The sequence below is a fragment of the Homo sapiens genome, chromosome 14 (genome assembly GCF_000001405.40).
Source record: "Homo sapiens chromosome 14, GRCh38.p14 Primary Assembly".
Lineage (NCBI taxonomy): Eukaryota > Metazoa > Chordata > Mammalia > Primates > Hominidae > Homo > Homo sapiens.
Window position 1 is genome coordinate 64753268 of NC_000014.9, and position 12944 is coordinate 64766211.

The window sequence follows — 12944 nt, forward strand, 5'->3', positions numbered from 1 at the left end:
CCTTCCAAATGGGGAAACCGATTTAAAGAGGTTGAGTAACTTGCATGAAGACACAGGATTTGAATTCAGGACCAGAACTGGAGATAGGCTTTCCCATCATGCCAAGTAGCCCTCGGGGCTGGCCCAGAGGGGTGTCTAGGAGCTCTCACAGGCCAAGGCAGAAGGCACCCCTCCCCCAGCACATGCCCATGTCACCAAGGCTCTGCTAGCAGAGAGATCCCTGAGAGCTGCCCAACCTACCCTCAGCCAGCAGCCTCTCCCGCACTCACCTGTTGGAAGCCTTCTTGTTGGGCCCCTCCAGGTCATGCTTGCGGCCCAGGTAGCCTTCCATCTGCACACTCTGCCCATGGTCCCGCGGGGCCGGCAGCGTTGCGGGCTCATCACCCTCGCTCAGAGGCGTATCTAGGACCTTAAAGAGGGGCTCCGTGGTGGGCCTCTCATCCCCAGTGGATTTCTGCCCATCCTTGTGCTGACCCGGCGGTGGTGGCTGCTGCAGGTTCTGAGGCCACGTTCCCTCTTCTTCCCCCTGCTCAGGGCATAGGGAGGAGCACACCTTTCTGGGTACTCTGGCTTAGAGATGGCTGTTCTCAGCAAAATTGGGAGGTCAGCAGCCACCCTCTCCACACCCCCAAGCCTACTTCCTTTCTACTCCCACCTCCTGGCCCACCCTGGCTCTCCCACAACCTGCTATGGGTGCCCCCTTGCTTCTCTACTCTGCCTGTGCTTCTGGCTCCATTTCCACCCCATTCTCCCTTCAGAGAGCTGCAGGGTGGCCCCCTCTCTCCAATGTAACATAGCAACGGAAGGTTCTCAGAGTGAGCCAAAGGGGCCTGAGTGATTATTTCATTAAAGGGGTGTGAGGGGGGGCAGGTTCCAATGCTGCTGGCAAAGCTCTGGCCCCTCCCCTTGCTGCAGCCAGACACTCGTATGAGGAAAGTTCTGCTGCTAAGACAAGTTCGGCAACCACTTATAGTAGAATGTTGAATGGGAACTCTTCTGGTACTTTCAAATTGTGCCTAAAGCCCTAAAACTAAGGGTACCAGGTCCTAAGTCTGCCCGCCCCTGCCACCTTACAAAGGGAGAACCCAGACCCTCCCTGGCCATCAGCAGGTCTAACAGGTCCTTTCTCCATCATTTGATGGGAACTTTTTGGACAGGGCAGTGGTTCCTAACCCTGGCTGCCTTCCGCAATCACCTCAGGTGCTTTCAAAAGAAACATTCTCAGGCTCCATCTCAAGATGCTGAGTTAACTGGCCCCGGGGGTCGGCACATTGGTATCTCTTACTGAGCATTTCATGGGATCTAATGTTCAGCAGGAGTTGAGAATCCCCCTCGTAAGGAGGCACAGCCTTGGGGAACTGCTGTGGTCTTTACCTCCCTGCACCTCCCTGTGGAGACCTGGGGATGCCTGGCCCCTGCCCAAGTCAAGGGAGGGGCCTCCAATGGTGCCACTCACTGTATGACATACAGGTGCCCACGAGAAGGGGAAGCTGACCTGCCATTCCCTGGCTGGGCATCTCCTTATGCTAGACCTTGCTGATCTGCCCTTTTGCCTGTTGGGGCAGAAGAAAGAGAGGGCAGGACAGATTGGGGCAGCAGCGGGCGGCCTCCCATTGCCAGGTGGGGCAAGAATGGGTGGGTCTCCTCCGTGCCAAGTGAGCACCAAGGAAGGCAGCCTCACTGGAGCCATCTGGCCAGGACCCGGTCCCAAAGACCTGACTGCTAAACACCTTTCAGCAAGAGGTAGGAAGGCCCCCAAGCAGCTGGATGCCTGAAGCACCAAGGACATCTTCAGCCAGGAGGTCAGAAAAGGTTCTTTTTCTGCTCCCTCCTCCCTGCCCCAACAGCTGAAGACAGAGGTCCAGAAGAGTGCTGGGGAGGAGAGGGAAGGAGCCAGGAGAGAGCAGACCATGTTCTCCTCCCTGGTCTGAATCCTTTAGACTATGGGGCAAACCCGAAACAGAGGATGGAGGATGGGAGGATGTGGGCCCCATGTTGGACATCAGATCGAAGCTTTAAACTGAAACAACTGGGCAGACTTTTTATCCACTGAAAGTGACCAGGGTCTGCCTGAGGTGGCCTTAGGAATGGGAAGGGGGGCTCAATGGAGACGTTGGAAGGCAGTGGTTGCAAGAAAGATAAAACTGGTCATGTTTGTATCTCATCAAATTAGGACTGTTCAGTAAACAGGTTACATGGTAGGGATCCAGTAAGATTTCATTTAAAGAAAGGGTTATGTGGCTGGGAAAGTTTGGAAACCACTGACTTAGTCTAATGCTTTCGATCTATAATGAGAAAACCAGTGCTCAGAGAGGTCAAGTGACTTGCCCAAGGTTATACTGTCGGAGTAGGCAGATAAATATGAGCAGGTGGGAAAGCCTCTGAGAAAGGGAGGTCTGGAAAGTCTCACACCCCAGAGACCATCCAAAACATTCACCCTAGATATGAGCAGAGAGGAGGGGAAATATCTATGCAGGAAGGAACACCCCAAGACACCCCTTAAGATGCCCAGTCATCACTCTGCAGTTAACCTGTGGGAATGTAGCCAGCTGCATGCTAAGGAGGGAAAGAAAGCAAAGGAGAAATTCCTACGAGATATGCACGTGCAATAAATACCAATATACACCCTTCCTGGAGTGGCAGTAATTAGCAACATCACCATTCGATAGGATTCATATCCGACACCCGCCCCTGCAGGTTCATCAGCTGACAGTAAGGGAGAGTCCCACAAACCTGGGGCGGGAACTAGGTGGGGCGAAAAGATGGAGACATAAGATAGAGGCAGGAAATTAGACAAAGGTGGAGACTTGAGACAGAGGCAGGAACCTAAATAGAGTGTGACCTAATAAAAACCGCAAGGCAGAACTCTCTAGTTGCTGGCTCATCTTTCGAGCAGCCTGCTCTGCCTCATCTTTCAGAGTGTATTGTCTCTGCTGCTACCTCACTCTTGCTGTGAATACTGCTGCTTCCCAGGCGGACCTGCTGGCTCCTCTCTTGGAGTCTACTTCAATAAACTCCCAGGCCGGGCATGGTAGCTCACGCCTGTAATCCCAACACTTTGGGAGGCCGAGGCAGGTGGATCACGAGATCAGGAGATTGAGACCATCCTGGCTAACACAGTGAAACCCCGTCTCTACTAAAAATACAAAAAATTAGCTGGGCGTGGTGGCACGTGCCTGTAGTCCCAGCTACTTGGGAGGCTGAGGCAGGAGAATCGCTTGAACCCGGGAGGTGGAGGTTGCAGTGAGCCGAGATCACACCACTGCACTCCAGCCTAGGAGACAGAGTGAGACTCTGTCACAAAATAAATAAATAAATACAATCCCTGCTCTTTATTTTCCTTCAGTAAACCTTTTGCTTACATTACTACTTGGTCTCTTGGCCGAATTCTCCCAAGACAGACTAAGAATTGAGGACTCTGCATTTCCTGGTGACAACAAAGCTAATAGGTATAGGAGGCAGTTCGGAATATGCACTCCCAAAATGGACAGACCTGAGCTTTTATCCCATCTTTATGGTGTTCATCTTTTCCCACCTTAGCGCCCCTGAGGGTTGTGGCCAGGCCACTCCTCTCTATGCATCTGGCAGCCTTTGGACCCTAGAGTGTCTGCAATGAGCCAGCATTGGCCACAAGGATCTGGAGGCCCCAAAGCCCTGCCTGGATCACCGTAGCAGGGAGGAAGAGCAGGAGAGGCAGGGATGGGACTGGAAGCCTGGGCTTGGGGTCTTTCTGTGGATCCTGCGCTCTGACTTGGGTATACATCTGGGGAGGCCCTGCTTTTCCTCCAAGAGGGGCGGGAGTAGGTTCCAGAGGAGGGGACATGGGCTGCACTGCTGCTCCTGCTACCATCAGTGCTCTCCCTGCCCTTGGGTCTCAGAGAAGCAGCCATGGCAGATATAGGGAGGGAAGCTTGCCAGACCCTCTCAGCCATGTTTGCCCCTCTTACCCAGCCTCTGCTCTCCTGGGATTGGTTTTACTAGAGACCTCCATGTCTACATTTTCTTCCTATACTTCCATTCCATTTTCCTTCCTTTAGAAAACTGTCCTCTGAAAATAGAGATGGATTTTGCCAGGACTGACTCCCAACTTAATCCCACCTTTCTTCTGTTTCCTCTTAATGGGTGCCTGGCCCACATTCCTTGGCAGGGACATTCAGAGGCTATGCCAGTGCGATCAAAAATTATGTGGCCAGGTCACAGGTTGGCTTTGGAAAATGGGGGTTTTCCAATGTATGCAAAGATTTCTTTGGCGTTCCTGACTGCTCCTGTAGAGACAATTTAAAATGCATCTTGTACTCTCCACCCTGAAGGCCAAGGCCAAGAATGAGGGTGAGAGATGAAGGAACTGGGCTTTGGCAGGGCTTCCCTTCCTCTCTGGGAGGGGGGAGCGGACACAGGTGAGAAAGGTGAGGTGTAATGAAGGTGGGTACAGGAGAGGGGGAAGGGGCTTTGGGGACAATCCTTTCTTCCCCTCCTCAGCTCCCAGGAGGCTGGCCAACTCCCTGGAGGGGGACAAGGAGGAAGAACCAAGAGGCACTGGGGTGAGGGAGTAAGGAGGACAGGGATTTCTAGAAGGCCCTGTGAGCAGAGACACCGATGAGCTCTCAGACGGAGCTGGCCCCTTCCCTCAGCCCTCTTCCTGCTCTCCCATCCAGGACCAACAGCAGAGGGCCTCCTGAGAAGCCCACCCCTTCCCAGGTGTTGGGTCAGACAGGCCTGGAGTGAGAGTCCCTGGAATTCCATCTGGGGGAAGGGAGAGAACCTTCCTGACTCAGTTAGTGGGAGTGAGCCCATGACCTACTTCACAGGTGGTTTGCAGCCTTTTAAAGTGAGATCATGTCTGTAAATGTTGGCTTTCTTATGATCCTTCACCCCTCCCTATCCACCCCTGCCTCCCTGGGGCTTTGCCGAGCAATTATTGTGGCCAGTGTCCTGTGGGGCTGGTGTAAGGATCTCAAAAACCCTCTTGTTCCTGGAGTAGCAGATGCTCAGGACTGAGAAATGGGGAATGGGAATCTCAGCCACTGGCAGGCAAGGCCTCAGCCCCTCCTTTCTCGGCCAGTTTCAGTTGGAACATTCTGAGGCTTGAGACAGGAAGGGAGAAGCCATGTGAACAGGTAAGCAGTGCAGGAGGGCCTGAGGCCCCACCCCTTTAGGGTAGTGCAGAAGTGGCCTGAGGCCCTGCCTCAAGGCTTGGAGTGGGGCACTGAGGTGGAGGGGCCCCAGAAGCCAAAGGCAGAGGCCCCAGGTCCGGCCAAAGACAACGGCGTGCTGCTGAGTGGAGGGCTCTGGTAATTCACAAGTGGATTTTACAAACAGCTCACAACTTTGTCAAGAAAAGACTTCGAGGAAGATTGTGTCTAGATATATATCCAAGAGGTCAAATCCTTTTCTGAAGCAGAACCATTTTTTAAATAGTTACTCTTGGGGTTCCCATCTGCCCAGGGAAAGTGCACAAACAGCAGAGAGCAAGCTGGAGGGATGGCCAGATGCTGCTGGCAGGCTCCTTGCTCACGGGGGAGGAGGGGTGTGGGAGCCTGACACAGCCCTGCAAGTATGTGAGTGTGTATGTGTATGTAAAGATCTTTTGCAATTCATAAGAGATAAGGAATTTCTCTGGGGCCTTTTATTTCTAGCCATGCCTCTGGGAGGGGTATGTAGGTAGAATCAACAATGGGGGCCTTATCAGGGAAGGGGGTGGGGGAGGCTGGAGATGGGGTAGATGAAGCTGATGTGAGAAAAGAGATTCTCAGAATTCTAGAGCTGGAAAGAGGCCTTGGGGTCATGGGACTCAGCCTCTCCTATCTCAGATGAGAAAACTGGGTTCCGGAAAAGCTCAGTGACGGGCTGAGATTAGAGCACACAGCAAGTCAGTAGCAGAGCTGAGGCAAGAATCCATGGCCCTGCTTCCTATCCACACAATGCCTCTGAAATCGGAAAGGGCACCACAGGTGGTGTGGGAAGGCAGGGAGCCAAGTAGCTAGGCAGGGAGCCAAGTAGCTGGGCAGGGACCCACCCATGACCCCCTGGCTGCGAACCTGCAGTGGGAGGCCTGTGGCCCTGTTGGATCAGTCCTGCCTCTTTCTAGGCCAGATCCATCAAGGACCTCCCAGCTCACCAGCTGAACCATCCACCCATGCCAACCGTGGGCCCTGGGTCAGGCTAGCAGCATGGTTTGGCAGGAGGACCCACCTCCCCTGAGCCTCAAGGCTAATAAGAGGGGATGAGGGGAGGCTGCCCCCCTGTAAGCAGGCCATGGTCTGAGGTGGGGACTGCCTTACCCGACAGGAGGCGAGATCTATGGACAGAGAGCACCAGGAGGGGCGATGCTGGCTACTCATGTGGCTGAGATGTGACTAAGGGACCGGCAGGTTCTGCCCAAAGGCAGCATATGGAGGAGCTGATCTGAGGTTCCCTTCCACCTTTGTGCTGTAAGGCAGGGGCTGCTGCTGGAGTCCTCAGGTCATCAGGAAGATGCAGATTCCACCTGTACCACTGAGGGCTGCCACCCACCGGAGCAGGGGACACTCTGAAGGAAGAGAGTCCCGCTGCTTGGAAGAAATTCTGGGTGTCCAGTTGCGGGCAGCAAGGGAGTCTAGACCATAAATGGAGGTGAAGGAGAATTGCAGAGTGGGCTGAATAAGGGAAGGCACTGCCTTTAGTCCTCTGGTTTGGGGAAGAGGCAGGGGGAGGTGTCTGAGGAGCTGTGTGTACTGGCTGTGGGATCATGACATCAGAGGAGGGCAGGGGACAAGCAGCATTGGTTGCTGGTTGACAGGGATCAGTGGAGAAGAGGGCACAGCCCTTTTGGGGTCTCACAGGATTGTAGTCAAACCAACAGGGAGAGGCCACAGGCTCCCAATGGGTGCGGGATGGCCATCTCTGGGTCTTTGCAGTCTTGCAAAGTCAAGCAGGAGTCTGTGTAAGCTTGACTTTTTAGGGTCCTGCCTTGCTAGGAAACTGGCTTGGGTGGGGGAGGCAGGGGTTGGGGTCTTCACAGAGGATGTGCACAACAGGCCAGGGACATGGCCAGGTGGGTAAATGTCTTCTCCGGGCCAAAGGAGGTGAAGGTGTATGTCCAGGCTCAACCAGCAGGTGGCGCGGGGGACTGCACACAGACAACAAACTCCTCAGGCTCCCAGGAGAAACACAACCTGGCTCCGGACCACAGGGTGTTTCAGAGGTTCTGAAGATGCTCAGAGAACCCGGATGCATTTACAAGCAAAGAACACAGGCGACAAGGTCTTCTCTCTAAAGGTAACACCAGTGAGAACCAGGGCCTGAGGATGCACCCCAGAAACAGGCTGACTGCAGCAACGGGATGCATCGTGCCACAACTGAATTCATGTTAGAATTCACATGGAGGATGCTACTTTTAAGAGATGAAGGACTGAGGTGGGGGATGGAGAAAAATGAAGGGACTTAAATGATCACCTACTCAGTGCCAGCTGCTCTACCTACATTGTCTCTTCCAATCCTCCCAGCCTCTCTGTAAGGCAGGTACTGTTATTACACCTGTGTTACAAATGAGGGAAACTGGGGGTCGTACAGAATGAGTGACCTGTCCATAGTCACACATTAGTGAGGAATGTTGAGGTCGCAGGTCTGTCTGGCACCAAACTCTGTGTTCTTACTAATTCTCCTGCAAGAGAGGAGACCTGTATCCTCACTCCAGAGGAAAGCACCTGCCCGATGGGGTTCACAGTCTAAATGAGATGATCCTGGCTTATGCAAAACACATGGCTGATTGACAGAGGCAGCATAATCATGCCAGAGCTGGAAGACGGGCTTGGGGCCAAACAAGACCCCCTGCTAGATGCCTTAGGCAACCAAAGAGTGCTGGTGACTGTGGGATGTGGGGAGCCAGCAGCCAAGAAGTGACTCTGGCCGCCAAGAAGTGTTGCCCTCGCCCGGTGTCTGATATCTCAGCTCTTGTCCTTTGGGTGAGAAGGGCTGTCACTGGGTGGGTTGGAAAGGCTGTTCAGAAGACAGTTGTTTGCAAGAGAAGAAAAAGAAATGGTTTGTTGAGCTGAGGGCAGCCAAAGAGATGAAGAGATGGCAACTTAAGGTGGGCAGAGACAGACGCCTTAAAGGAGAAAGCAGAAGCTGTTGCTGAACAGGGGGAAAGAGCCAGGGCGGGGAGCTGAGGCTGGGATACATGGTGAGGAGTCCCCTGGATTGCAGGCCAAGGGATGGGGAAAGGCTCTTATGAGAAGTGGGTTAGGGGAGCAGTCCAGTGCAACACTGCACCCCAGAGTCCAGATGTCTGTCTGAGATGGCAACTGGGGGGCCTGGCCAAGATGACAGGTAGGGATGCAGGGCAGAAGGGCACCTGGTAAAGTGAATGGAGGGGAAGGGGAATGGCAGTGTGCAGGGGAGGAGAAACCTGGTCCACTGTCACCAGGGCGTGAGAAGAGAATGAGGCTTCCTCGGGAGCTGTCTTCACCATGCCCACCACCTGTGTGGCCTCTTCAGGTCCCTGCCCTGAAGGAGCTGCTGGCTGCTTAGTCGCTCAGTGGCCCTGAGCCAGCCACTCAGCATTTGAAAGATTAGAGAGAGTTAGAAGACACTGACTCCCCCATCCAGATCTGCCACCCAGTGGTCACATCGTCCACTTCAAACCCATTTCTGAGATGCCTCCAATGTTAACTGAGTCTCATCCTGAGGCCATCAGTATCTAGGATGTTCTGAAACACAGCTGGAAAGGAAGAACTTAGGAAGAGTCGTCAGAACAGAGGGGCCAGGAATATTAAATCTGACCACAGCAAGGAGAAAGGGACATGCCCAGCAGCGGGCAGGTGTCCAGAAAGAGCCTACGGCAGGTTTCTCCAGGGAGCCAGGCGCAGTGCCAGAGTATAGGCAGACACACCCCTGCCACACTGACTCAGGCATACTGGGTAGACAGGAACATGCCCAGGTTTTGGGGAAAACTGATGTTGTTTCCAGCTGGGTCTGCCTATTACCAACAAACATAGGATTTGCATTCACTGCAAAATGTCTGAAAGAGTAGCAGGAGGAGAAGGAAAGACTGGGAGAGCTTGTTCAGGCGAGAAGAAACACAGCTGCTGTCTCCACACCCACATCTCTTCCATCCAAGGACGTCAGAGCCCCACCACTGGCTGCTGATTAAAGCTCCTGGCTGCCTGCCAGGGAGGCTGCTGCTGGGGGAGGTGCTCAGGTTGCCAAGGGGCAGCAGCAGCTGGAGCCAGCCAGACACCGGCCAAGAGGTGGTCTTGGCTACAAGTCCAGTGCCTGCTCAGCGCCTCACGTTCGTAAGTGCTGGTTACTTCCCTGAAGCCACATAAACCTTTAATCCTATGGGAATGGAGACGCAAGGGACCTAGGAGTCTCAGCTCCTACGTTCAGCCCTAGCGAGATACTCAGTCCCTTTCTCCAGGGCTGCTGGCTGCACAGGCAGTGCTGGAAGGCCACGCGGAAGAATGGCATCTGTGAGCTGCCCTTGGGGAAGAGAGCTTTCCCTGACTTCCTGACGAGAAGGCTGATAACGAGGGGGCACCCAGCAGCTGCTTTCTGGAGTGACCTGGCATCCCAGGGTCCCGTCTGCACTACAGCCTGGATCTAGCCTTGGGGCTTGGAGGCAGGCAGGGTATGTTTATCCCACACAGTGAGCCCTAGCAAAGGTGATTAGGAGCACCAATCCCTTTCAGGGACGTCACACATGGCATCACCGCAGCCCTGCTGAGGGAGTTCTCAGAGCAGTTCACACTTCACTTCCCAAAACCAGAATCAGGCACAGTGGACAGGAAGATGCGCAGGGCTGTGCACTAGGGACCTTTAGCCTGGGGGGACTTGCAGCATCATCAACACCATTTCTTCTCCATGCAATCCACCTCCTTCTCTCCCAGGAGAAAACAGCCTCTCACCACACATTACACTGGGGCTTCTGAGGCACCCAGAGCCTGGGAGGTGGGGGATGCTCAGCAGGACCCCCAAGTGCTTCCCAGGGCCACAGCCCCAGGTGAAGGGGAGATGCTTAGTCTGGAGCAGGTCTGCCTGCCCACTGCCGAGGGCTCCCTCGCAGACCTGGGCCTCCTTCAGGGCACTGTCCTTACCGTAGCAGAGGTGCAGCCCCACCTCTAGTCCCCCACAGGGACGAAGGCAAACACCCCAGCCCTTTACTACTTCTTTCCCATCTCCCGTCTCACACCAGTGGGTACCTGAGACCAGCCAGGTACCACAGCACTAAGCACCAGGCAAGAGGAAAGTGGTGAAAACCACCTCTCCCAGCCCCTCCCTGTAATTTGCTAAATTGCTGACATACAGAAATGTTCCAGACTTTCCGTAATTCTCCAGAGAAGGCTTTATAAGAGCGCGGAGACTCAGGGGATTAGGTGGTTTTTATCTCAAATCACGCAGGAAGTTACCAACAGAATTAAGGACTAGAACCCAGATGTCCTGACTTCCCCTCCAGCAGTTTTGTCTTTCGTGAGTGAGGTCTTGTTTCTTCTGCCTGGCCTCCCATGCACTTACCTGTATGAACGGATTGGCCTTTACCAGAACGTGCTCTAATGTAAAAAGGCAAGAGGTGAGGGAAGGCGGTGGGACCGTGCAGTGATGTGCTTGAGAAAGAGGCTGATGTGTGGGATGGCAGCTTCAGTCACCACGTGCACACACACGTGGGGAAGGGGAGGACTGGGGTGGGGTGCCACCCTGTGGTGTGCAGCTGTCCAGACAGGAGCAGGGGTGCCTGGTCCACTCCCATCAGTTCCCCCCAGCAGGAAGCCGACATGCACAGTGAGGGATTGTACATGAAGCAACACCGCATGGATCTATTCTGTAGGGCACCGACACCAGACCACACACAGAGGACCAGCAGGAGAGCCACCATCCCCCAGGACTATCCCCAAGGGGAGGCGCAGCCATTGGCCATCCCTTCCTGGGAGAGGCCTGCGGTTCTGTGAAGGGGTAGTTCCAGGCAGGCTGGAAGGACCAGCCACTGGGCTTGCAAGGAGCCTTCTAGAGCCAGGTTGGGCTTTCCCGACAGGCTCTGTCCTCCTCTTTCTTGCATCGAAGGTGGATGGGGTATTAGGCCCTCCCTCTGAGGTTCGTGGATCCCCATGAGAACTTAACAAAAGGCTCAGAAGGGAGCAGCAGCAGGAAATCTGTGCGTGAGGCCTTGGGTCTGTGTTCGTTTGAGTCACCATCTGGTTTCTTTCCGGTACCGGGCACAAGCCAGTCTTCCCATCTGCTGGAGTGGCTGGCTCTCCGGAAAGGGTCTCAAATGTGGGCTCACTTCTTCCCCCAAAGAGATCATCAGGTCCAAACAGGTTTTATTCCCCCCAACCCAGTGACATTCAGGTGTTGGCTGGAGGCGGCTCTGATGCACAAGTAATTACATTTGCACAGACACAGATGACACAGACAGTGGATGGAGTCGCTCTGGTGCTCACAGAGGAGCCCGCACACCAGGACACCGCCACATGCAGACACACAGGGACGCATGGCAGAAGCAGGCGGGGGCAGGGTGCAGGGCCCTAGCCCGTGTCCGCAGTCTGTGCCGGCCCCCCAGAGTTCGCTCTCCTTCCGGCAGGGGCTGTTGCTGGGAAAAAGGGGCTGGGACACAGTCCACCACAGACAGGGAGGCGACCCCACATGCGATGACGGGAGCTTCGGAGGGAACTTCTGGGAGAGACCCTTCAGCAGGAGCCCAGCAGTGCCCTCTGCTGGGCATGGTGGGCTGGTGCAGCTAGGAAAGGGAGGCCTCTGGCCAGGCTGGAGGCCACAGAGGAGTGTGTGCGTGTGTGTGTGTGTGTGCGCGCGCGCGCGCGGGTGGTGGATGGGGGTGGGTGGGGAGGGCATCTGTCTCTCTCAGAGGGTGAGAAGGGCTGAAAAAGGGAGGCCTCACTATCTGTATATGTTTCTGGGTGTGACTGGTGTACCAGAAACTTCCATGTGGAATGCCAGTCTTCCTAACCTCACCCCCAGGTTCAGGCGGGCTCACGGGACACCTGGAGAGGTGGGCTGCAGGAAGGATCTGTGGCTCCCTTGGCCCCCAGTGCAGCCTGCCACAGCGGGGACATGCAGGGGGAAGCCGTGCAAGCCGTGTGCTGAATTCTTGCTTTCTTCTCGGTCAGCTGCTCCCCAGAGCAGCTCCCTAAGCCTGGGTGACAGCCTCCCAGGCTCCCTGCACAGACCCCATGGAGTCCTAAGGGGCCTGCTCCAGGTAAGGTCCTGAGGCGCATGCCCTAGGCCTCTGGCAGCTGCTGTCTTGGGCTCTCCCTGTCCCTTGAGCCAGGCCTCTGGCTCATCCTCCTTTCCGACAAGTTGGGGGGCTGACCTCTGTTACTCAAAGCCCTGGGATTCTCCTCAATTTTGCAGGCTTCCTTCAAGTCTGTTCTTGCCCCAGAACCAGCTCCATATCCAGACTCACTGACCCACAGGCCTCAGGCCAGATCGGTGGAAAGAGGAGAGGGCTCTGCATAGGGGGAAAGAATCGCCTACAAGGATGGGCACCCCCACTTCACCACTGAAGATGCCTGTGGTGGGGCAGGTGGGATGGGACAGCTGAGTGATTGGGGTGTGTGTGTGTGTGAGTGTGTGTGTGTGTGGGGGTGTGGTGTGTGCACATGTATGTGTGTGTGTGTGTGGAGGTTGCGGTGTGTGCATGTGTGTGTGTGTGGGGGTGTGGTGTGTATGAGTGTGTATGTGTGTGGGTGTGAGTGTGTGGATGTGTGTGTATGGGGTGTGGTGTGTGCATGTGGATGGGTGTGGTGTGTGCATATTTGTGTGTGCATATGTGTGTATGTGGGTGTGTGGGTGTGCGTGAGGTGTGTATGGGGGGTGTGGTCTGTATGAGTATGCGTGTGTGGGTGTGTGTGGATGTGTGTATGGGGATGTGGTGTGGGTGCATGTGGGTGGGTGTGGTGTGTTTGTGTGTATGTGTATGTGTGTGTGTATGTGTATGTGGGTGTGTGGTTGTGCGT

The 12944-nt window shown here is 54.9% G+C and overlaps 1 protein-coding gene across 6 annotated transcripts in view, besides 2 other annotated features; it reads right to left on the reverse strand.

The window, feature by feature from the left end:
- SPTB (spectrin beta, erythrocytic) overlaps positions 1-12944 on the reverse strand; it is a 133625-nt gene that overhangs the window by 6985 nt on the left and 113696 nt on the right. For all 6 annotated transcript variants that reach the window (NM_001355436.2, XM_017021612.3, XM_047431724.1 and 3 more), the window contains one exon: positions 270-526. In NM_001355436.2, coding sequence (NP_001342365.1) covers positions 270-526 — 257 coding nt within the window. The remainder of the gene's footprint in view (positions 1-269; positions 527-12944) is intronic.
- Positions 7006-7105: a silencer, noted in NCBI's record as "silent region_5840". NCBI's record gives its function as "represses an Ori minimal core promoter by ATAC-STARR-seq in GM12878 lymphoblastoid cells {active_cell/tissue: GM12878}" and the evidence as "EXISTENCE:reporter gene assay evidence [ECO:0000049][PMID:35858748]".
- Positions 7126-7175: a silencer, noted in NCBI's record as "silent region_5841". NCBI's record gives its function as "represses an Ori minimal core promoter by ATAC-STARR-seq in GM12878 lymphoblastoid cells {active_cell/tissue: GM12878}" and the evidence as "EXISTENCE:reporter gene assay evidence [ECO:0000049][PMID:35858748]".